Source organism: Homo sapiens, chromosome 10 (assembly GCF_000001405.40).
Source record: "Homo sapiens chromosome 10, GRCh38.p14 Primary Assembly".
Lineage (NCBI taxonomy): Eukaryota > Metazoa > Chordata > Mammalia > Primates > Hominidae > Homo > Homo sapiens.
The window spans coordinates 82,668,165-82,694,562 of NC_000010.11; the positions used below are offsets into that span (position 1 = coordinate 82,668,165).

General features: G+C 39.6%; 1 protein-coding gene across 24 annotated transcripts in view, besides 1 other annotated feature; it reads left to right on the plus strand.

Annotated features, from left to right (window-relative positions):
• Positions 1-26,398, plus strand: part of NRG3 (neuregulin 3) — a 1,111,986-nt gene that overhangs the window by 792,971 nt on the left and 292,617 nt on the right. The window lies entirely within an intron of this gene.
• Positions 7,127-7,691: an enhancer, noted in NCBI's record as "NANOG hESC enhancer chr10:84435047-84435611 (GRCh37/hg19 assembly coordinates)". NCBI's record gives its function as "activates a minimal SCP1, AML or CMV promoter by ChIP-STARR-seq in naive H9 embryonic stem cells {active_cell/tissue: H9 hESC(naive)}" and the evidence as "EXISTENCE:reporter gene assay evidence [ECO:0000049][PMID:30033119]".

The window sequence follows — 26,398 nt, forward strand, 5'->3', positions numbered from 1 at the left end:
TTTACTTTTATTTTCAAAGCCCTTTGAGGCAGAGATGAACTTCTGGCAGAATGTCTAAAATTAGCTAGGTTCTCTGGAAATGCAGAACTATTTATGATACAGTTGGCTTTCTCAGTACTACAGAGAGCCAATAATAACCACTCTTAAATGATCCTGAATGTGGCTAGTATGCTTCATTGTTGGGAAATCTGATTTTATTACCCTCTTAGATTCTATATTTTTAATGTATTTTGTAACCAATGAGATTTCCACAAGAAATAAGGATTTGGCCTTCCCCTTGATGAGTCAAGCCTGCATATTCCCCTATGAGTCATGAGTCTGCATATTATTAGATTGGAGTTGTTCCTGCTAGATACAGGCCAAATTTACCCCAATTTGAAAATATCAAACACTGTAATCTTAATATAATATTTTGATGTGTCTATTATTAGGAATGGCCAGAGCAAACAGTTGAGATCTGTAAGTTCATATTTAGGACCAAGTTTCCATGCTCTGTGTAGAGACTGAGAAGCGTTCTGAGCCTCCATCAGCAGCTGTTGCGTCCACTGAATAATTCATTCAGGAAACAAGGACTGAGTACCTTTCATGTGCCAGATTATCTCGAAGGCTCTGGTGACCTTAGGATGAACAAAAAATTATGCTTTCACAAGTAGAAGGAAACGAGTATGAATTTGGGAATTGTCTGCCTTTACATTATAGATTGCCTCTATTTTCTGGTGGGAGTTTAGCCTCATGATATTGGTGAGAGCCACAGATCCTGAAGGGCATGAATTTAAGGCTCAGCTATGCTACTTCCCATCTGGGAACTGCTGTTAAAGTCGGTAAATGCTCAAGAAATCAATCAGAGGCCCTTCTCCTCGTTCTTCTTTATTTTCCATCATCACCACCATCGTCACCTATAATCACCATGATGATATTAGATATTGGTGCAAGTAGAATCAGAGATGTGTATTGTTTGATCCAAATATTGTATGTTGCAAATTGAAAGTCTGCCATCCTATAAATATGAAGGAGCAGTTAGGGAGTTTCAGTAATAAGCAAAAATGAAGGTAAGTAACTTGGACTAGTCAGCCATTTATGATGGTAATAATAATAATAATAATAATAATAATAATAATAATAATCAGAAATAACAAAGTAACTGTGAAGTTGAGATATTTGAAGACTAGTCCCAGTACTAAGGTGCTTTGGGGCAATGCGCAGTTTTCTAAAAGTAATCATTTTCTTGGGTTGGACACAGAATAAATTTTTAGTACTTTATTTTCCTGGTTCTTCAGTTCAATTTTGCTACCCAAACTTACTACCAATTATGGTTTCTTTACTTCAAAATTCCAAAGCTCCCCAGCAATTTGCAGGGTGAGATTTTGTGTGACTGCTGGAAGGCACATTCCAAAACATAAAGAAACTTTGCCATTGGCAGAAATGGCCTTTCTGGGACACATTCATCAAAAATGTGAAATGAGAATTTAAAAAGCCGCAACATGCCGGGCGCGGTGGCTCTCGCCTGTAATCCCAGCACTTTGGGAGGCCGAGGCGGGTGGATCACGAGGTCAGGAGATCGAGAGCATCCTGGCTAACACGGTGAGACCCCGTCTCTACTAAAAATACAAAAAATAAGCCGGGCGTGGTGGTGGGCGCCTGTAGTCCCAGCTGCTCAGGAGGCTGAGGCAGGAGAATGGCGTGAACCCGGGAGGCGGAGCTTGCAGTGAGCCGAGATCGCACCACTGCACTCCAGCCTGGGCGACAGAGAGAGACTCTGTCTCAAAAAAAAAAAAAGAAAACAAAAAAGCTGCAACATGTGGCATCCTCCACCACTCCCCTTTGGAGCCCAAGTGACAAGAAGAGAGAGTACTTTACTGAGAATCATTTTGTTTAGACCACTGTAAGACTTAAAAAAAATTAATAACTTTATTTCTTAAGTCGGTCAAGATGACCTTGATTCTGGTGATTAGAAAACCCTGTGTCTCCTGAACTCCTTGCCTTCTTTCACCCTACTCTCCCTCCCTCTGTCATTTCTTCCCACTCTTATTTCCCACTACTCATCATGTCTCCCTCTCTTTGTCTCTTTGCCTTCTTTCACATCTCTGTTTTTTTTCTATCTCTCCCTCACAAATCAATATTCTCCTCAGTAGTCACCCCATAAATGAAGCACAAACACACATCAACAAAAATGTGCACAAATACATGCGGCATAAACACACACAAACTCATTTTTGTCCACATTGCACAGTAAATTATCAGAGACTTGATAATACTTGTTAATGAGCTCAGTCACGCTTATTATTCAGTCCTATATCATTTTTCTACACCCAAATGAACAAGTATGGTTGTAGAGTTTTGGAGAGAGAGTACCTGCTCTTTATCAAACCTGTAGGAAGATTCTCTCATGACCACCATGTTATTTCAGGCAGTATCTTCCTTCCCTAGCTTACCTGTCTAGCAATAGATTTAAAGGACATATGTAAAGAGAAACTTAAGGTCATAATCTTCAGGACTCACAAAACAGGTATCTTCTCCTGTGGATCCTAAAGCTTATACATTTTCTTGGCTCTCTTCAAGAAAAAAAACAAAACAAAACAAAACAAAAACACAAATTTACAAGCAGAGAGAATTCACCAAAGTTAGCAGAGACTGGGAGATCCAGGTCCTCCTTTTGTGTTCTTTTTAGGCAATGCATTGAAACATGTTTGCATAGAGAGTTTCCTGATTGCAACCTGGCATCTCCTCTCTACCTGCAATTCTCTGCATTTCCCATCAATTCTCATCCTCCTTAGAGGGTTGAACAAGAGATGAACCCTGAAGCCTGGGCTCCATTCTCTGCACAGTAAGTCCACCTCTGGGAGGCAATAAGCCCAAGTTCCAACCTTCCCCCTTAGGTGGAAGGCAGCTGTGACAATGAGCTTGGGACCCTAGCCTGCATCCACAATATGTTGCCAGTCCATGCACATAGCTCCTCCTCCCACACCCCAAGGTCCTCACCAGTGCCTGGAAAACCCATCATGCTTCAGCGTACTATGGCCTTAAAACAGCTGCAACACTGTGACTCCTTTGTCTCTTTCTTAGTTATGTCACTCTCAGTAAGCTCCAGTTGTTACAGGAGAATGAATCTCTGGCTGGGACCTTACCTTGGGTGGTGTTGTTCTCATTGGTTGAAATATGTTAATGTGATCGAAAAGCCCAGAGTATCTGGTCTGTTTTTAGCTAAATATGGATTAAGGTCATTTCAGAAACTGGCTAAAGCAAGCATCTTTGACTCCCCGTTAAGGAGCAGATTGCCTTGAAAGTCTTTGATCTAGCCTGGATTTGTCATTTTTGCCACTCTGAAGATATATGGAGCAGTGGATTAGTGACTGTCATTCTTTGGAAGCACTGCTGAACAGGGTGCAGAGCTTGGACTTCAGGTTGGACAGCTCTGGTTTCTGAGTTCCAATCTTGACCCTGTCATTGGCTCTGTGACCTCACACATGTGGCTCAACTTCTCTCCTCTGTATTTCATCCTTTGTAAAATGAGGTAAACGATACTTCATAGGTGGTAAATACCTGATTACAGAGAGATGAACCAACTCAGTTGAAACCACACACCTATTCAAAAGTAGAACCAGAATTAGGGATGCTCCAATGTCACATGTGTGATTCCTCTACAAGAACAAGTGGGAGATAATTAGGCAGCAGTCAAAAATAATGTGAAGCTATGCTAACATCTATTTATCACAGGCAAAGTTTTGATTAATTAAATGAGTGAGAACTTTGTTCTTTGGCTTCCCCTACTCTCTTCACTGTCTATATCTCCCTATCCATCCTATATTTAAATGGTTATGTTTCCCAAGTTTCGGGCCTGAACTCTTCTGTTTTCTTTCTAGGTTTTATCCTTACTGATCTCTAATATCAGCAAAATTTCAGTTGTCTTCTCTGGCGTGTAAGTTGTAAATTTGCTTTTTTAAGAAAGCCCAAATCATGAAGATGATTTTCCTGAGACAGTGAAGACTAAGCTGAGCCAGAAAGAAGCAGGCCTCAAGCAGGCGAGAGTACTAGGAAAGAAATGTTTTAGGCAGTGGGGACAGAAAGTGCAAAGGGTGCCTGGTGAGAAGGAGCTGAGGCCATGAGGAGAATGGAGGACAGGCCATGTGGCCAGAGCACAGGAGAGGGGTGGCACCAGAGGAGACTGGAGAGGAGGAAGGGGGCATCTTTTTATATTGATTTTAAGGAAAATGGGGTATTGATTTGTTTGAAAATGCACCTGGGTGATAGACATGATCAGATTTATGGTAAAACAAACAAAAGAAATATGTGACCCCATGGCAAACAGAAGATTTCAGGGGCTAATGTCAATGTGGAGAGTAGTAATGAGCTTTCTGCCTTCATTTACGACTAATTACAGCAGCTTGGGTGATCATGGTGGTGGGGAGGAGATGTAAGGGGGAATGCTGCAGCAGGTCCTCAAATATTGTCATTTTGTTAGACTATTGACAAGGGAAAAACAAAACAAATCAAAACAAAACAAATCAAAACAAAACAATTCCAGGCCTGGGCCCCTGCCTGTGTGGAGTTTGCATGTTCCCCTCAAATCTGCATGGTTTTTTTGTTCGTTGGTTTGTTTGTTTTTGTGATGGAGTCTTACTCTGTCTCCTGGGCTGGAGTGCAGTGGCACGATCTCGGCTTACTGCAACTTTCGCCTCCCAGGTTCAAGCAATCCTCCTGCCTCAGCCTCCCTAGCAGCTGGGATTACAGGCATGCACCACCACACCCGGCTAATTTTTTGTGTTTTCAGTAGAGATGGGGTTTTACCATGTTGGCCAGGCTGGCCTCAGACTCCTGACCTCAGATGACCCACCTGCCTCAGCCTCCCAAAGTGTTGGGATTACAGGCGTGAGCCACCGTGCCCAGCCCTTCATGGGTTTTCTCAGGTATTGCTGTTTCCTCCCACATCCCAAAGATCTATGCATGAGGTCAATTGCTGCAGTGTGAGTGAGTGTGGGTGCATATGAATGAGTGCGCCCTGAGATGGGATGGCTGGCATCTTGTCCAGGGCTGGCCCCGCCTTGCACCCTGAGCTGCTGGGACAGGCTTTAGCCTCCCTTGACTCTGAGCTTGAATAATTGGGTAAATAATTATCTTACTTTTTAAATTCATCTTTCTTAAATGTATATATAGCTCACATTTGTTTCAATGGTAAATAGTAGAGGTCTTTATTTAAAATTGTGTGATATTTTTGTGACCAGAAATAGGCAGTAGGAACTTAACTCTTATTTATATCAATTAGCCTATAGTAAAATTGTTTTCATTATACTGTATTTTGCTTAAAGTGGCAATTTCTAAGAACCTATTGATGACATTAAGTAAAGACTTACTGTATTTGGAATTAAGGTGACATAGATTGCTGACAGATCAGATGTGGGAATGAAGGAAAGTGAGAGGTCAGGATAACTCCTTGATTCTGGCTTGAGTGCAGAATGAGTGGTATGAGGTCTACCAGGAGAGAGCACACTGGAGACAATCCAAAGTTTGGGGGTTGGGGGATGGAAGAATAGCCTCAGCTATAAATCTTCACTGGGCTTTCAGACAGGTTGAGTTTGAGATGACTTTGCAGTCGGGATCCATGTGAAGATACCAACTAGAAAGTTAGGTCTGGAGCTCAAAGGAGAGGCCTATGCTAAAAATATAAATATGTGGAGTATCTTTAAGTAAGTGACCATTTAAGCCAGTGTCATGAATTCAAATGCTCAGAGGGAAAGAACATAGATCCAGGAGAGAACGATCCTAGGGTTCAAGACTGAACCTTGGAACTTCAGCAATAAAAGGCGGGTTTAGGAGAATGATTGAATTAGTCCAGCATACAAGATGTTCAACAGTGTTGCTGGGCAACGTCAGGGTAGCCATATGATTTCTTGTACAAATGAGGGGCCTTTTGAAAGTGAAAGAGTGCTAACCAGGAGTATCAAGGCAACATGTGTAAACTGGGACTCTGTATGGCAAAATTAGACAAAGCAAGTAGTTAGATTTATTCAGGTTGGAATTGTGACAGATATGCACACCAGGAAAATAAAGAGACAAGAGAACTCAATATGGAATTAGTCATCAAATGCCATCTAGTTGACATTCTTGCCTATTAATCTCTTCCTGCATGTTACTACATAAACTTTCCACACTATGTATTTTTTCATATTGCCTCATTTTTGTTCAAAAACAACAATGGCTCTCAGTTGTCAGGGTGAGAGTTTAGAATCCCTAGCTAAAAACCCAAACTCTTAGTTCATCTGGCCTATCTTTTTAATCTCTCATTTACTTTAATCTCTCATTAGCTTTCCCGAGAGTCATATTTGCCTTTTTACTGACACTTAAACATGGCTTAAGTATCATCTTCTCTAGACTTTTAATAAGTAATTGAATATAGTCCCCTTTATGATCCCAGCAAGGAATGAGCCTTATTGTCTATCAGTCATTTGAATCTACTAGGAGGATGGTTCATCCAGCACTCTATATCTGATAACATCGGGAGCATCAGTTTCCAGGGAAGTACATTCAGGTAAAGTGAGAATGTTGTGCTGGATGCGAAGTCTCAGATCTCTCAGATGAAGTCCCGTTTTGTTCCCCACCCCCACCTGCCGTAATGAATTCTTTAACCACCTGATGGGTTCTCCTGCCCACTGCACAAACAAAATTAATTCACATAATTGCAGAAAAGAAAGAGTTTAATTGACATGAGGCCGGCCACACCATGGGGGAGAGGGAATTATTATCTCCTCAAAGGCTTCTAGATTAGGGGGTTTTATTTATATTTATTTATTTATTTATTTATTTATTTATTTATTTTTTGAGACGGAACCTCACTGTGTCGCCCAGGCTGGAGTGCAATGGCGCGCCTCGGCTCACTGCAACCTCCGCCTCCTGGGTTCAAGCGATTCTTCCTCCCCAACCCCCTGAGTAGCTGGGATTACAGGCACCCGCCATCATGCTGGCTAATTTTTGTATGTTTGTAGAGATGGGGTTTCTCTATGTTGACGAGGCTGCTCTTGAACTCCTGACCTCAGGTGGTCCGCCCACCTCGGCCTCCCAAAGTGCTGGGATTACAGGTGTGAGACACTGCACCCGGCCTTGGGGTTTTTCAAAGATTGTTTGGGGGAAGTGATGGGAGTGGCTAGACAATGGTTGTTTGTTGCTGATTGGTTGGGGGTGAAGTCATAGGGTTATGGGAAATGTTCCTCCTGTGTGCTGAATAGTTTCTGGTGGGGCCACAAGAGCAGTTGGTGAGTCCAGGTGAAGCCAGGTGTCAGACATGCAAAGAACCCGAAAAGACATTTCAAAAGGCCAATCTTAGGTTCAATAATAGTGATGCTGTCCACAGGGGTAATCGGGGAAGTTAGCATACCTTTTGATCTCTTGAATAATGACTGGCAATCCTTTATGTCTACACCTTAGCAGAATTCAGCCCCCTCTATCTGCCTAGCCTGGTGGTCTCTCATTAGCTTTACAAAAGTGGTTGAGTTTTGGGGAAAGGCTGTTATCATTTAACCTATAAATTAAATGCCTCCCAAGGCTAGCTTGGCTTAAGCAGCCAAGGAATAATTAAAAGCAGTTTGAAGGCTCAAGGCAAGAGGGGAGTTGGCTAGATCAGATCTCCCCCACTGCCATAATTTTCTCACTGTTATAATTTTTGCAAAGGCAGTTTCAGTTCTAGTACTCTATCTGGGATGTACCTTACTTCACTTACAAATAAGCACAGATCATATTTTGTATCTACATAACTAGGCAAGAACCATCCTGAAAGGGTAACAAATTCTATGAATCCATCCAAATATAAAAATATTCACACGATGTTTCTGTAATTCCACACAGTTAGAAAAAAAATCATATAGGAATCAGGGAGGTGTATTCTCATTCAATAATAGAAACAAAATGTCTTTATTTTGCTTAAAATTAACAGGAAAAAGCAACAGCATTGCAGTAAAGAAAGAGTTTCATTGACACGAGGCCAGCCACACTATGTAGAAGAGGGAGTTATTATAGGAATCAACAGAAAAAAGTCCCAGCCCTTCTGTTCACATGCTTTAAAAAAAACTATCATAACATCAAAATTGAACTTCTGTCTTCATTAATAATCATAAGCTACCACATATTATGTTGATTAAAAAAAAATTGAAACATCTGCTTGGATTGCCTTAAGGAAGACTAACCTGTTTTCCTGCTAAGGGTGTTTGCATTCTTTGTAACTCTAAAGGTGAAAGGACATCAGGGGACCGCCCCCAGCCACCCTCTTATTCATGTTCCTGGATCACAGAAAAAGGTGAACATATTTTGGTCTGCCATTTCTATTTGTGGTTTTTTTGTTTGTTTTTTTTCAAGATGGAGTCTCACTCTGTCACCCAGGCTGGAGTGCAGTGGCACAATCTTGGCTCACTGCAACCTTCACCTCCCAGGTTCAAGCAACTCTTCTGCCTCAGCCTCCCGAGTAGCTGGGATTACAGGTGTGTCCCACCACTCCTGGCTAATTTTTGTATTTTTAGTAGAGACAGAGTTTTGCCATGTGACTAGGCTGGTCTTGAATTCCTGACCTCAAATTATCTGCCCCCCTCGGCCTCCCAAAGTGCTGGATTACAGGCCGGAGCCATGGCGCCCAGCCTCTATTTGTTATTCTCTAGTAGAGGACTCTGAATTTTGATTTTTTTCTTTGAACGTTTTTTTTTCTATTGTAGTTTGGAGTTGCTTTTAAGGGGAGTTAACGCATTTGTTGGGCTCTAGGTCACTTTGAGGCAGAGAAAACTTCAATCAGACCTCTTAGTTTTCTTAGATATCTGAACTCTTAATCTGGAGCATGCATTTTGTAATTTAAATAAAACTTTTCCCTTTATTTTCTTCAAAATTATCTTTCTTTCTTTCTTTCTTTCTCTCTCTCTCTCTCTCTTTTTTTTTTTTTTAAAAGCAGGGTCTCATTGTGTCACCCAGGCTGGGGCGCAGTGGCATGATCTCAGTTCACTACAATCTCGGGCTCAAGCTATCCTGTCACCTCAGCTTTGCTAGTAGCTGGGACAACAGGTGTGCACCACCACACCTGGCTATTTTTTGTACTTTTTGTAGAGATGGGGGTTTCACCATGTTGCCCAGGCTGGTCTCAACTCCTGGGATCCAGCCTCAGCCTCCTAAACTGTTGGGATTATAGGCGCGAGCCACTACACCTGGCCCAAAATTAGTTTCATTTGAGTTTACATGGGGTGGTTGAAAGTTTTGGGGAGTTTTTTGTTTGTTTTTGGAATCAGTTTCAGACTATGCACTTTTTGGTACTGACACTTTTACACACAACAAGATCATTCATGCAAAAATGAAGAAATAGAAAAATGAAACTCTTGCTTTTTTCTCATCTTTCTCTGGCTTTTCTTCTCTTATGGCCATTTTCTCCCTCTTTCTTTTTTACTGTCTGAAACTCTTTTCATAGACTTGAACACTGCTTAGAATTATAGAACTATTAGCAGGGGCAAATTGTATGCATCTGCAATACTACCTCAATTCTTGATCCTCAGAAGAAAGAATTTGACCAAGGGGGTGTAAGGCAGAGTGAGAGACTGAGGCAGGTTTTAGAGCAGGAATAAAAGTTTATTAAAAAGTTTTAGAGCAAGAATGAAAGGAAGTAAAGCACACTTGGAAGGGGGCCAAGTGGGCAACTTGAGAGTCAAGTGCACTGTTTGACGTTTGTCTTGGGTTTTGTATGTTGCATGATTTGGTGGGTTGCCTTACTTCTCCATTGATTCTCCCTTTGGAGCGGGCTGCCCACATGCACAGTGGCCTGCCAGCGTTTGGAAGGGGCCACATGCACGGTGTGTTTACTGAAGTTGTACACATGCTCACTTGAGGTCTTTTTCCCTTACCAGCCAAGTGTTCTAAGAGGAAGGACATATACCAGTTAAACTCCGCCATTTTGCCTCTTAGTGCTCATGCTTGAGCCCACACACATAACTCCTGAGATCTTATCAGGAAGCGGCTGATCACCACTTCAGGTGTTTCCTATCTATTGGGAGACTGCTTTTCCCTGGTCACTCACATCCGTGTGAAGAGACCACCAAACAGGCTTTGTGTGAGCAACAAGGCTGTTTATTTCACCTGGGTGCAGGCGGGTTGAGTCCGAAAAAGAGAGTCAGCGAAGGGAGATAGGGGTGGGACCGTTTTATAAGATTTGGGTAGGTAAAGGAAAATTACAGTCAAAGGGGGTTGTTCTCTGGCCGGCAGGGGTGGGGGTCACAAGATGCTCAGTAGGGGAGCTTTTTGAGCCAGGATGAGCCAGGAAAAGGAATTTCACAAGGTAATGTCATCAGTTAAGGCAGGAACAGACCATTTTCACTTCTTTTGTCATTCTTCAGTTACTTCAGGCCATCTGGATGTATACGTGCAGGTCACAGGGGATATGATAGCTTAGCTTGGGCTCAGAGGCCTGACACCTGGCACTGGCTTAAACCAATTGTTATTTTAGAAAGACAGTGTGACAACTGCCTGACCATCACCCGACGGTCGCCTGACATTCTTAGATTGGGGGCCCCTCTCCTGCTTTCCTCACGCCTGCCTGACTACCTACTCCAACAGAGCAACAGCGGACATTACCAGAGTTTTTTTTTGCCTAAGAGATCACTCTGCCTCCAGGACTGTGGGTTCTGATGCCTACTGCATTTTATGGAGCTCCTTTCCTCAGAAGAGTGTTGACAGGATAAAAACAAATCCTGGGATCATGTCTTCCTTGATATTTCTGAGCACCGTGTATACATATGTATGTAATGATGGACTCACAAATATGCCACTCTTATACTCAATATTTGAGGTGGACAATCTGACATTGGAAATGTAGACATTGTTGTTAGACCTGGATTTCAATTTTTATGCTTTGTTTTGTGATGTTGACTGGGCTGTATTAAATGTCTTGAGTTTTAGTTTCATGATCTACAAAAGTAGAGTTATAATTTGAAGGAGAACTGAAAGGACTTGATGAGATGACCATTGTGCTGTCTTGTACATAGTAGATGCTCAGGAAGTGTTGGATCTTTTCTTCTCACTCCGTCTGACTCTGGACTGTTGTATAGTCATAGTCAAAAACTTTGTAGCCAAGGTCTATTATAAAACTAGCATATTCATCATAATTATGGCATTTCATAGCAGGTGGTATGTCACGTTCAATGCTCAGCTAAGTAATTGTTTAAATTCCATACAAAAAACAAGTATTTTTCTTACTCTAGTGAAAAGAAAAATCTTGCATTTACAAAATCACTTGAAATAAGAATTTCTGGTATCTAAATAAAGGAATATAATAATATAATAGTTAATATTTACATAGCATTTTCTGTGCCAGGAACTGTTCTAAGTCTTTACATATATTAGCTCATTTAAGTCTCATGATGACTGGCTGCATAATTAGTGAGGTCAGTCCAGTGAAAAATAATGCAAAGCTGCTTGTTCAAAAATTATTAAGAATTTTAACATGGTGATGCCAGAGCATTAAACTAAGAGTGGGGCCTTTCTGATTACAGGGCAGTGTACAAATACCCAAGTGACATATCTCAATCTTCATATCAACTCTATGAGATAAACACCATTATTAATTGCAGACAAAATAATTACGAAGTGGGGAAAAGCTAACTCACACAAGGCTACAGGGACAGGAAGGTTTGGAGCTGGGATTCTACCCAGGTAATTAGTGTTCAGAGTCTATGTTCTTACCTACTGGAAAAAAAAAAGAAAAAAGTCTTTTGTTTATGTACTAACCTTTATTTTATAAATTGCACTATGTATTTTATTTCAGAGCTATGATATCAAAATATCTATTTTGATATGATCATATAGTATACCATATTCATCTATATCAATGCCATGGTTTGTACAAATAGAAAAAGATCTGATGGGAAGCATTATCCATGTAGCTAGTTACACCAAAACTAATATGAATTTTACCAATCACCAAACACTATTCTAAGCCCTTTACTTATATTAACATCATATAACTGTTAATACCACCCTATGAAATAGGTACTATTGTTGCAATCATAGTATTTTAGATGAGGACATTGAGGAATGGAAGACATATATCTTGAGCAATGCCTCACATCTAATAACTGCTAAGGTGAAATTTGAACCCCAACAGGCTGGTTGGGGTCTTCAAGGTACTTTATGTTAGTCTCTTGACTGTGATGAATGAAATGTGCCATTGTTTTAATTTTATCCACTGCTAAATCACCAATAATCAGCAGAATGCCTGACACATTAAATAACCAATCAATGTTTGATGAAGTAATGAATGCACTGAGTCCTTTGAAAATTAAAATTTTAATCATGCAAGTAATACATGGACACATGCTTCTTCTAAAATGCTAATAAAATAGTCTAAAGAAATCAAACCATAAATGTCTTACCAGACCACTCTCCCGCCCTTGTCATGATTTTAATCTTTATTCTCTGGACTTTTCCAGGAAGGACCAAGATTTCCAGGAGTGTTCTGTGTTTATGAATCGCTGTTGATCATGCTATGAGCCGACAGGGTTGACGTTTGCTCTGCATACTCAATGCAGCTCAATATGATCCTGAATATGGTGAAGCTTTCTTCAGAGCCATTTCTTTTGCTGCAGACACATAATAAATGCCCTAGTTTCACTAGGCAGTTTCAGTGGAATTCAATTTGAAAGCTAAAAATGATGCAGATAATTATAAGCAGCTTCAATTCCAGTTACTGTCCAATCCCTGCCTGAAAGCTCCTTGCCAAGGGATGTTAGCCACATGATCCTGTGGCTGCTCAAGGTTAAGCTGTTCTGGGCAAGAGTTTAAATGTGCTGCCACAGGGCAGGTTTACTTCTTTCTAAACAACTCAGGCTGTTTTCTCTAGAGCCTTGAAGCCCAGGGTCTAGACCAGACATTACAGGATTTTATGTCAAAGAAGAGTATAATATTAAAACATAATTGGGGCATCGCTCATGGTTGTTAAGACTGACTTGTGATAAAAAATCATGTGAGGAAAAAAAACTGCCTTTTGGGTAAGCTTTAGAAGGTGGCAATTAAGGAACTTGAGTTTTGGAGCAAAATTGCCTTATTTGAAATCTACCACTGCCACTGTTGACTGAACAATTGACTGATTCTGTACAATTTACTATATTTTCTGAAACTCAGTTTCCTCATTTGTAAACTGGAGATAATAATTGACTTACCTCATAAAACTGTGGTAATGTCAATTGAAACAATTAATGTGAAATACCTAATATGCTGAGATTCTCAATAAATATTAGATTTTATAAGCTTCATAAAATTAAAAAGTGCAGGAGAAACAATTTCAGAATAACTCAGTCCAGTTGGAAATATTATGCCAATATTTTTGCTGAAAGCTGGTGAAATCTTCAGCAGGGACTGGCAGAAACACCAGTGCTTTACTAGGCTTTTCTTGGGCATAATATTCTCCTGAAGTAAATAAATTGACAAATAAATCAATACATTGACAAATGTCATTTGTCAGTAAAAGTGACACCTTCTAAAATGAAGGAGTTACTCTTTTGGTTTCATTGCTATTTAATGGTATGTTCAGAAGTGAACTGACTTATTAACTAATGTGATCTGAGTGACTGTGATGGACATTCTCCTCCAAAGCTGATAGAGTGCCTACAACACTTCCTGCTCTGTAATAGGCACAACATAAATATATAGTGATTTGCAAGCCACCTTTTGGAGGAGAACACTTCCCATTGTTTTTATATCTTCTAATACACCAGTGCTTGGTAAGGTCCTCACAAGAGAATGCTGATACCTGCATTTCTCTTTCCCTGGTTTCCTGCACAGGCTATGGTGGGCGTAAGCTCAGTTCTCAACAACCGCCTGCTGAATAGAACACTGGGCAAGGGAACAAGGGGTTTTAAAGGCACTGATAGCTCTCAAGAGGCTGCTCTGTCTGCCAAGAGATGAGAGCCATAGAATCAGAAGAAAATTTGGAGAATAAAAGGTTCAGAAAGGTGACTAGAGTAGGAGGAGGAAAACAAAGAGACTTTAAAGCGCTCTTCTCTTGAAGCACCATGTCCTCTCACTATTTATTGTTTATCAGGTACCCTTAGACTGGATACTAAGCAAGGCTCGTCACCACAAACCTTGTCACATGCACATTGTCCCTTCCTACTCTTTGGAGCTACCATTGTGTTTGTGAATATCACACACTGTTCACTTAGATATAGATAGATAGATGAAAGATAAGATAGATGGATAGATAGATGATAGGTAGATAGTAGATAGACAGATAGATAGATAGATAGATAGATAGATAGATAGATAGATAATAGATTAGGAGATAGAAAATGTCTTTGTATTTATCTGGTGATGGGAAATCTTGAAGTTTGGAGTCAACCTGATTTAGTTAGGGTAAATAATAGTGCTTGCTCTAACAAGTTGAGTGACCTTGTACAGTTTAGTGGAAATGACTCCTTTATGGGCAACAACTGCTGAATAGTTGATTCATTATTTTTAAAATTATGTTTAAGAGAAAAGTATTCTGAAGATCCGAACATCTCTTAAATATGTTATGTTTGCAAACATAGGAATTTATTCACCAGTCCTTTGATGGAGACTTAAAGCTTTTCTTGTGTATTGGTGTACTGTTTAAATTTCTTACAAAACTCACTCCCATATATAATCTATACATGTAATCTATGATTTCTAGCTTCAGTTTCTTTAAATAGGACAAAAACTAAAACTCTTTGCAAATTATGCTGTGGGGAAAATTTGACAGATGTTTACCACACACCCTCTCCCAAACAGATTTGTGAAAATACAGACCATGTCTTAATTTTTTTTTTTTTTTTTTTTTTTTTTTTCTGAGACAGAGTCTCACTCTGTCGCCCAGGCTGGAGTGCAGTGGCACGATCTCAGCTCACTGCAATCTCTGCCTTCCGGGTTCACGCCATTCTCCTGCCTTAGCCTCCTGAACAGCTGAGACTACAGGTGCCCACCACCACGCCCGGCTAATTTTTTGTATTTTTAGTAGAGACGGGGTTTCACCGTGTTAGCCAGGATGGTCTCGATCTGACCTCGTGATCCACCCGCCTCGGCCTCCCAAAGTGCTGGGATTACAGGCGTGAGCCACTGTGCCCGGCCTCATGTTTTAATTTTGTATTTCTCCCTCCCTCCCTTTATCTTTCCTTTCTTCCTTCCTCCCTCCCTTCCTCTCTTTTTCTTCCTCTATCTCTTCCTCTCTCCCCTTGATCACAGTATATACTGTAGAACCTTGTATATAGTAGCATCATGAAATAAAGGAATTAAATTAATAATGGGTAACTTGCCTACTGTAACACCTAACAAACATATAATATTCAATAAAAATGCTGTTACCATTATTGTTGTCATTATATGTATATATGTTTATCATTATGTTTCTACAGAAGCAAAGTAAATTGGTGTCTTTAAGATAATATTAAAGAAATGGCTAAGGAGGCTTACATGAGATTTTCAGCAAAGTTCCAAGAATTGAAAAACTATAAGTAGCAGATGCAACCTAGAATTCCACTTACCTTATAGTGATAAAAGACACTACATTAGTTTAAGTTTACTAGCCCATCCTGTTGAAATATGTGTGCTCATATATTTTAGTAATACTTGTATTTTTGTGGTGAAATGGTTATGCTTCCAAAAATAACAAATTCCAGTGATTTTAGTTCAAAACAGTTAAGAGCTAGAGCTAGAAAACAACTTTCTTACTTGCATTATTTTTCTTTACATTTTCCTAAACTATACGCAGGCAAAAAAATGTTGTGGAAGTGCTGTTTTATGGAAAAAAGCCCTGAGGTGCTATTTGCCTGCATGCTACTGAACTGAGTTTACATCTTTGCAAACAGGAGGCTTCCCGGAATGTGCTGTGTGTATATATTCAGAGCGCCCCTGTGTTCACTGTTTTAAGTATTGGGTTAGAGATCTCACTAAACAATAAAGTAGCATTAGCTCCCCGTAGACAGGTAATCCTATTATCTTTAGATACAAGGATACATTTTAATAATACAGATACGGAGATTAAAGCAGGAGGATTGAGAAAGCATCCCATTCCCTCAGGGATAATGGGTAATGTAATCATGCTCTTGCACTAAGCAAATAAATTAGAAGTCTTGATTGCATCACAATGGAAGAGATTCATACTTCCATTTCTTTCAAAAGTGATGGCAGTCTGCTTCCAAACTAAGGCCATTTAACATGTCTTTATACATTTTTTCCTAGTTTTTGAAAAATATTTTAAATTGAACCCAAAGGCAAATACGTATAATGCTAGTTGATGCTTTGGGGGATATATCTTTCTATAGAAACCTTCCCTTCCAATGCCATTGAAAACCAAATTTCAAAATTGAGCACTAGAAGTAAGCCAAAAATCAATTACCATTGATGGAACAAAAAAAAACAGTACATTTTTGTCAATATTACTGCTTTCTTTTTTTCTTTTCTAGCTTTGAAAATTAACCCCCATTATGTATGACAATCTCTAAACTAAAGAAACAGTAAAACTCTTGAATATATTCTTTGTACAGCCTTTAAGTAATTAATGGAGTACAACACAGTGGTCTCGATAAAAGTTCCAGAAGAACTCAGGAGGGCAAGAGATGCTGTAGAAAGGAGAGAGGATCAAAGCTGTGTCTTGCAAAACAGAAAAGATTGGGGCATGAAAAAGGTGTGGAGCAAGCAAAGGTCCAAAAAATTGTTCCAGAAAAAAAACTGACTAAATAGGAATGTAGGAAGTATCAAGGGAAGATAATTTGGGCAGATTCTGAAGAACCTTTAGTGCCTTGATAAGGAATTAGACTTTAGGATATCTGGAGTATCTCTCAGCAGGGAAAAATCTTGATAGCAATGGGTTTGAGAACATGAATATGGGAAGGGAGGGTAAGGCAAGTCATCTACGAAGTAAGAAGGCCTTAGTTTTGAATATTAAATGATAAATAAGAAAAAATATGAAAAATGAACAAGCAAGACTATGTAGATGGCCGAATAGACAGAGGCCCCCCCCAAAACTTAACCACACCCTCATCTCCAAGAGCCCAGGTGTTTTTTCCTATTTATCATCTCAGCTGCTCAATGGCTCATGCAATTTTAAAGCAAGAAGAAATAATGAAATAATGATGAAGCAGATGCACTGTGTAAGTGCACACAGGGATGAATAAATTATACAAAATGCACTGCAGTTGGAAGGAAGGAAAGGAATTACTGAAAGAAAGTAGCTTCATGGTTTTCTCATTGAGATCAAACTCAGTCCTGCTCAGTAAAAACGAACTAAGTACTCTTGGTCTGGAGGCCTGACCAGGACCTTAGGAACTTGTGATACAAAGACTGGAAGTTGCCCTGGTTGAGTCAGTGAGTGAGTGGTGAATGAATGTGGAGGCCTAGCACATTACTCTGTACACTCTGTAGACTTTATAAACACTGTACAGTTAGGCTACACTACGTTTGTAAAAAAATATTTTTTCTTTAATTGTAAATTAAGATAGCTTGCTGTAACATTTTTACTTTATAAACTTGTAATTTTTTTTACTGTTTTGTAGTAATACTTAGTTTAAAATACACATTGTACAGCCATACACATTGTACAGCCATATGAAAATATTTTCTCTCTGTATATCTTTATATTATAAGCTTCTTTCTATGCTTATAATTTTTGTTTTATTTTCTACTTTTAAACTTTTTTCTTAAAAGCTGAGATATAACCATATACACTAGCCTAGGCCTTCATGGGGTCAGGATCACCAATATCGTCATCCTCTACTACATCTTGTTCCACTAGAGGGTCTTCAGGGACAATAACACACATGGAGCTGTCATCTCCTATGATAACAATGCCTTCTCATGGAATGCTTCCTGAACGAACTGCCTGAGGCTATTTTACAGTTAACATTTTTTCTTTTAATACCGTGTACTCAGAAAGAGTATACTCTAAAACAACCATAAAAATTATAGTATAGAAAATATATTAACTAGTAACAGAGTAATTTCTTATCATGATCAAATATTATGTACTGTACAGAATTGTATGTGCTATGCTTTCTTTTTTTTTTTTATTTTTTATTTTTTGGAGATGGAGTTTAGCTCTTGTTGCCCTGGCTGGAGTGCAATGGCATGATCTTGGCTCACTGCAACCTCTGCCTCCTGGATTCAAGCGATTCTCCTGCCTCAACCTCCCGAGTAGCTGGAATTATAGGCGCCCACCGCTACGCCTGGCTAATTTTTGTATTTTTAGTAGAGATGGGGTTTTGCCATGTTGACCAGGCTGGTCTTCAACTCCTGACCTCAGGTGATCCACCCACCTCAGCCCCCCAAAGTGCTGGGATTATAGGCACGAGCCACCGCGCCCTGCCCCATGTGCTATACTTTTATAGGACTGACAGTACAGGAAGTTTGTTTATACCAGCATCACCACAAACACATGAGTAATACAGTGCACTACAACATCGTGACGACCATGTCACTAGATGATGGGACTTTTTCAGCTCCATTATGATCTTATGGGACCGCAGTCATATACGCAGTCTGTTGTTAACTAAAACGTCGTTATGCAGTGCATGAGTGTATTTGATGCAACACAGTCATCTCAGGAATTAAAGTGGCTGTGTCTAAGTCCCAGTAGCCCTCCGTTTTGACTTATTTCCTTTTCCTCAAAAATTAGATGCCCTTTCAACCTGGTTTGACAAAAATCACTGAAATTGATCAATGCATATAGGTTTTGGGTCTATGAAAAAATGCATATTTTAGCTCTGAAGAGAACGATAACAGAACTTGACTGGGAGTTGTAAATGTCAGTGAATAACGGGTTATGGGACATGAAGCATATTTTCAGATTTCTCAGAGAACCATACTTGGGTCCAAATGACTTCATGTTAAAGAAACGGAATAAAATCAACTCAGCATTCCTGCTGACCAGCTTTCTATCTCAGTAAGTAAGTCATCATGCCCTCCGGAGCAACCATCTTAGGTCAATCAAAACATTTGGCCTCATTAACCACTTTGGATTTATCTTAGGACTTTCTTATTTATAGTCTTCCCAAGGCATAATGGGCTTCAAAATGTACTTTTCCCTGGTTCATGTTGAGTTGAACCAAGTTCTGTGCTTTTACTCAGCAGGCAGTCATTTGACTGTCAGCTTTTATATTTTTCTCTATGATCAAGGAGTTCATACGGCTGCTCCTAGGTGCCTAATTAACATTCCTCCATCACTGCATCCCTGCTTGTAATTATTCTTCATGCCACCTTTGTTTCCTCAACCATCAGGAATATATCAATAGGTCAAATCGTTTTAGTACTTCTGACTTAGCTCTTCTTTAAGCTTCATAATTATTAGATATAAACTGCAGATAATACAGATCTCTTATTTCAGCAGATTCTGTGATTCTGCTTTTTGTTTGTTTGTTTTTGTCAGGAGAGAAATTGGACTAAATTCTGAAGAGTGGCCATGGTTTGGGAAGATAGAAGAGGGTGCTGCATATAGGGATATTAGGAGCAGAGCTAAAAGGCAGGAATCAAGTTGCATGTTGGTGAAGATATGTGATGTGTTCGGTGTAGAGAGGTACACCCTTGAATTTGAAATGTAATATGGTGGGGGGAGGGGTGGAATAATATAAACCTTAGAATAAGAGTAGGTCTAGGAAGCTGGTCCCCACATCTTCAACTCACCTTACAGCCACCCAGCAGGCAGACTTATCTCCCAAATCTGGTCCTTTTACTCTCTTACTCTGGTTCTTTCAATGAGACTCCAGTGCCTTCAGCTAAATTTCAAATGATTTCTCCTGCCATTCTAGACATTGCAGGTCCCAGCACACATGAGTTTCCTAAACTAATCTTCAGTCCTTGCTCTCCTGCCAGGCACCTCACATTTCAGCCACATTCAGTACATCCTTGAACTCACCATGAACACTCATTTCCACATTACCACCCATGTGCTCACTTGCTCTTATCTTCCACCTCCAGTGCACTTATAAACTCCTACACAGTATATAAGATACAGGTAAAATATAAGTCATTGTTTGTATCATTCCTCAGTCATAGCTATTTACTTCACTACATGTACATCCGATACCCTTGAACATATCTGTATTACACCATTTACCACAACGTATTATATTTATGTACTTACATGTCTAATCTGCCACCTAGACTTGAGCTCAGCGTTTTTATTTATCCATGTTCCCCTTAAAGATTCTCATATGCCTGATAGATGGCAGGTACCTAATCGATGTTTGTTAAAGTGTTTTGGATGGAGAATCACTACCATGTTCTTTCCTAAAAAATCCCAGGAATTGGTGGTATAACATGACTGGTCATTGTTAATTAATGTTTTCTACTAGAGATTGTTCTTAGTCAGTCTTCATGATTTTTTTTGGTTAACAAATATTTTGGGGATTTTAATGGCCAAAATTATTTCTAAAAAATTGCTTCTGTGGTTGTTGGTCATTCACTTAGAAAGGATTTACTGAACACTTCCAATTAATGAGCTAATTTCAGTTTTCTGAATCACAACAATATTTATTTCCCAAGAAGTAAACAAATTTCTGCATATAAATTAGAATTTTATTAGGTAGCAGTTTTATAAATCATGTAGTTTAGAATGGCATTCTCCTAGAACAAATCCATAGGTCTTTTTTAGAAAAAAAAAAAAGAAAAGAAAAGAAAATGTCGCCTCAATAATTTTAGATGTAATTTCCATACACATTTTATTGTTGTGTATTATAGGTTGATTACTGCTCCTGATAGATTTTTAAGTTGCTTAAGCATATAAAAGCCCCAATATAATTTTCCACAGATAGATGGAGAGAAAGAACTTTTTAAACGCAACTCTATAATTTGTATATCTGAATCCTGATCTTTTAAAGCTTTCTTAGTGTTTTCCTTAGCAGAAAAAATGTTTATCATTAGAACTGTTAAGGAGGAATCATATCTCCTTTTATAAAGTGCTTTATTTTTCAAAGTAAAGGAAATGCGAGATGGCACCTTATAAAATTGCTGATCAAAAATGGTCAAATGTTGGCAGTTTCATGTGGTTCACCCTAATACTTACAGCTTGATTTTTTGAGAGGAAAAAGGATTGAAGGACGTAAAAATGTTATCTTCCAGTAATCTCAAAAGATACCTGAGAGAGAACTATACAGTGAATGCTGATGTACTGATTATGAAATGTATTTTCATAAAAATGACTGTAACCTGGTTAAACAAGGCATTTTTCTCCTGGATTCTGCACACACTAGTAGAATAAATTCAGTTGGTTTCCATTCCTCTGTCAGTTAGTGCACGTAAGTCTCACCCATTTGTAATGTCTAGAAATCTTAAAAAGCATCAGAATTACCATTAATGATGATGATCACAGTCTGCTAGATGCCCAGGAATGACTAAAGCCTACTACTAAAGCCCCAGTAGCAGTCAATATAGGTTATGCTTCAATAACAAACAAGTACACCAAATCCTTATAGCATAACACAATGTTTATGTTTAAAATTGTGATATGAGTTGAATGACTTTCCAGAGCAGATTTTGGAGGGGGAGAATACTCAATTATGTACTTTTCATTACCACAAACTGAAGTGGCACATTCTCAGTTCTAGTTACATTTTATTTGCTAGGACTCTGGTCTCAACTAATTGGAAGACGAAAGTGAAGTACAATGAATGAAGAAAGGAGAGGAAAATCAGATATGGTTGAGCACTAAACATCTTTACCATAGTTTGTAAGACTAAATAGACTTCGTACATTTTATTTAGTATTTTTTTCATTCTTGCTTGGGGAAATCTTTCCAAGATACATTGCCAAACTGGGGTAAATGAAGATGAAAGAAAGTCTGAGACCTAAGAGGTTGAATTTCTTGAAACTATTTTATAATGACCATTTCCTTACTTCTTTTTGCCTTGTTGATTCTTTCCTTGTTCATTCTATTTACCACACCAGACATAACTCCACATAGCAAGATTTTGCCTTGTCTGATGCCTTCATTTTCATAATTTATTTCCACACATATAAGCAGAATGGGTTACAATGGCAGACAGAAATCTTTAGCTTTGAAATAGAATGGCCAGTGAGAAGCATGCCTATATGAAGAATCTCATATAGAGAGAAAATTTAAATTTCAATAGAGTGTTTTTCTTAAACTTAGAATTGGCCACTTTTTTTTTTTTTTGTCATTTCTTTTCACTTCACAGGAACATAGGGAAATCTTAACTTCAGAAGCAATTTGCGTGCAATCTCTCTTCCTGGATGGGTGAGGATTGCCCCCTTCAGCTCCTGCTAAGCTTTATCAAATGGAGAAAGCCTCATTTCATGCAGGCAGGAGTGGAGAGTGGCTCTAGTGTGCATGCTATCCTCATCCTCCAAAATATTTCACATAAATAATATGTTACCATCAGAAACATAAAATATCAATTATATATTATAAAGCAGAATTTATAATTCTACATAGAGTGTAACTGAGCAAAAATTCCATTGAGGTATAAAAACAGAAAATGCAAAGAATCTTTGCTCATATGAAACTGACAACATGCCATCTCCCCTTCATATGACTAAACCTGCTCTCCCAATCCCATTGTACCATTTGGAGAGATTTACATCAATCCAGAACAAAAATTACTCACTTTACCTTAAGTATTGTTAGCTTCCTTATTTCATTGTATTTCTTCAGTTCCTTCAGTTTGTTTTTAACTGAATATTGGTTTCTATTGGTTTCTTCAGTTATTTTTTAAATGATGTAAAAATAAAGTTTATCTCATATCCCTATTAAAATCTCTCAACACTCATGTCTCCCTGACAGCCCCTGCTCATTCTCTTTCTTCCAGCCTGGTACTTCCTTCACTTCTCTCCTTCCTCCTCTTTCTCCTTCTTCTCCTCCTCTTTCTTCTTTCTTTTTCCTTGTCTTTCTCTTGTTTTTATTTTCCTTCCCCCTCTTCTTCCCTCATCTGGAAGTGGCTTATGATGCACCCGAATCAGAATCCCGACGAACAAAAATTATGATTATCTCAACCTTAAGAAAAACAGCTGGATTCTAGAAAACCCTCAAAGAAAGTACGAGATTTGGGAAAGAAGCACAAATGTCCCCCAAGTCCCTACCCCACTCTCTCATGCCGAGAAAAAACAGCTTCACAACACAAAGCTTTTATGAAGGGCTAGCAGTTCCAGTGATGGGCTCCTGAGCCCTGAGCCTAACTGGTGCCTGTTGACCTCACTGCTGTTCAAATACTGTCTTCTTGTCCTAAAATTAGACATTACCTTTATTTGATTTTCTCTGGCACTGTCTGCCTGCCAACCAGCTGCCTCCCCTGCCACCCCCGCACACACTGGTGATGCATTCCAGATCCAAATCCAAGTCCTGGTTGCTGACATGATTCCAGATCTCACTGACTGTGGGATTTGTCTAGAATTATGAGGCCAAGTCTCATATTTTGAGATATGAAGAGGACAGAAACATAAATAGACCCAGAACAGGATCTCAGTGTTACTTTTTTATCTGTGTGAAGGACAACGATCTCTCCATTTTATTCTCTCTTTAATACCTATTTCCAAACATAAGAAACTGGAACTTATGATGTGCCTATAGTGTCAAACATTGCTCCAGGCATGGTACTTGCACTGTCTTGTTTAATTCTCACACAAACCTACACAAGAACTGTTATGATTCTCCTTAATTGATGAGGCGCCAAAGTCCAGAGGGATCAAGTAACTTGCAAAGGCTCACAGTCATGTGGCTGAGCAGAGGTTCCAATCCAGGGCATGTTAGTGCACACGGGCTCTTCCCTAGTGCCATAATTCCTCCCCTCAAATAAGATTTTCCTGGTAATTTGTGTTTTTTGAACCAATAAGACTTACCCTAATAAAACAGGATAAAAGGTAACAATTGGCAGGCGCAGTGCCTGTAATCCCAGCGCTTTGGGAGGCCAAGGTGGGTGGATCACCTGAGGTCAGGAGTTTGGCCAACATGGCAAAACCCCCTCTCTACAAAAATTAGCCAGGCGTGGTGGCAGAGCCTGTAATCCCAGCTACTTGAGAGTCTGAGGCAAGAAAATCGCTTGAACCCAGGAGGCAGAGGTTGCAGTGAGCTGAGATTGCATCACTCACTCCAGCCTGGGTGACAGAGTGAGATTCCATCTCAAAAAAAAAAAAAAAAGTAACAATTAATTCCATTTATATGGGAAAACTAGATATAGAGAATGTATGCAATTTGTTGACTCTTTTTTGGTAAAAAGAACTAGTACTAGAAATTCAAACTTTCAAGCTTCTAGTTCAGCACTTTTTCAATGATATTGATACAAGATATTTTGCTCCTTAGCTCAGCTAATCTGGGTTCTTGTCTCAAGACCAGGAAGAATTAGGCATGCAGACACATTGAAGGGTGAGAAGGATGGAATGTATTAAGCCAAAAAGAAGCTCTCAGCAAAGAGAGGAGGTCCTGCAAGCAGGTTTCCACCTCCCAAATTGAATACCAGGGCCACCACACAGGAGACAAAGAGGCCGAGCTCCTTCCCTGCATAAGGCGTGAATTCCTGGTGGCTCCACCCCATTCCCCAAGTACAGGTGGGCCTCTAGTCCATTGTGGGCATGCCCAGGCAAGCCCCCTGTGCAGTTCCCTCATCTGCACAAAACATCTGGTGTAAACACTTGTGGGATGGGTTGGAGATTCTGCAGGGATTCTTCCGTATCTGCGTAGGCCTTTGTCTGCCTCCTGCCTCTATCAATATCTTGATGTTTAGAACTGAGGGGAAAAATATATGGTAATTTTTGAGACTGTGAGGCAGAGCTACTTCCTTCACTGTAATATTCATGGCCCTGAATGCTGGCCAACAGAGGGTCAGGACACAGGAAGGGAAGCAGCATCTTATAGATGGGCCGCCCCTCAACACTGTTTGCTGCGCTACTCGATGTCACTATAGAAGATGTTGCTCTACCCCAGGTTGCCTCTGCCCACTCCTGTCAATCTTGTTTTTCACAATTAATTATTGACCTATTTGATCTTCCTAATTTCCAATTAGCCACATTCTACTTTGTCCAATTTCCCCAATCCTATCCCTTAGTATAAAATCCTGCTAAATTGCATTTTTTTCAATCTCCCTAAGTAATGTGATACATGATGTCAAGCCAACAGCATTCATTTATTTTAAATAAACTTACAGCTAGAAATTTTGTTTCTTTAACCACATTGCTAGACTTGAATAAAGTATTTTATTTAATGAATGGACGATGATGATAATTGCATTTTTTAAAAGAGCAAAGGAATCATTAGGTATTGCCTGTTTTCCAACAATACTAGATTTTATTTTAAATATGTCATAATTATTTCTACCTGAAGAGCACTGGCACTGGAGCTAGCCTGCCCTGGTACACATCGTGGCTCCATGTCTTACCAGCGGTGTGACTGTGTGTGAGTTACTAAATCACTCCGTGCTTAGGTTTTCTCCTACAAAACAAAGATAATAATAATTCCTCTATTATATAATTATGGTTAGATGCAAATAAAATTGTGTCCAGAATTTATTCCTTCTGGTGGGTTCTTGGTCTCGCTGACTTCAAGAATGAAGCCACGGACCTTGCAGTGAGTGTTACAGCTCTTAAAGGTGGTGCATCCGGAGTTTGTTCCTTCTGGTGGGTTCACTGACTTCAAGAATGAAGCTGTGGAACTTTGAATCGAGTGTTACAGCTTTAAAGGTGGTGCAGACCCAAAAAGTGAGCAGCAACTAGATTTATTGTGAAGAGTGAAAGAACAAAGCTCCCTCAGTGTGGAAGGAGACCCGAGTGGGTTGCCACTGGTGGTTGGCATGGCCAGCTTTTTATTCTCTTATTTGGCCCCGCCCATGTCCTGCTGATTTGTCCATTTTACAGAGTGCTGATTTGTCCATTTTACAGAGTGCTGATTAGTCCATTTTACAGAGTGCTGATTGGTGCATTTTTACAGAGTGCTGATTGGTGCATTTAGAATCCTTTAGCTGGACACGGAGCGCTGATTGGTGCGTTTTTACAGAGTGCTGATGGATGCATTTACAAGCCTTTAGCTAGACACAGAGCGCTGGTTGGTGCGTTTTTACAGAGTGCTGATTGGTGCATTTAGAATCCTTTAGCTAGACACAGAGCGCTGATTGGTGCGTTTTTACAGAGTGATGATGGGTGCATTTACAAGCCTTTAGCTAGACACAAAAGTTCTTCAAGTCCCCACTCAGCCCAGGAAGTCCAGCTGGCTTCACCTCTCAAAATGATATAGGTTTGGGGGAACTTTTAAAAATTTGGGCAGATTATTTTTTGGCAGTTATTTTTTGTTGCTATGTTTTATCTTCACGTGTTTGTGTGTGTGTTTGTGTATTTCTTAAGAATACTCAAACTTGGCTGGGTGCAGTGGCTCACTCCTGTAATCCCAGCTCTTTGGGAGGTCAAGGCCAGCAGATTGTTTGAGGCTAGGAGTTTGAGAACAGAC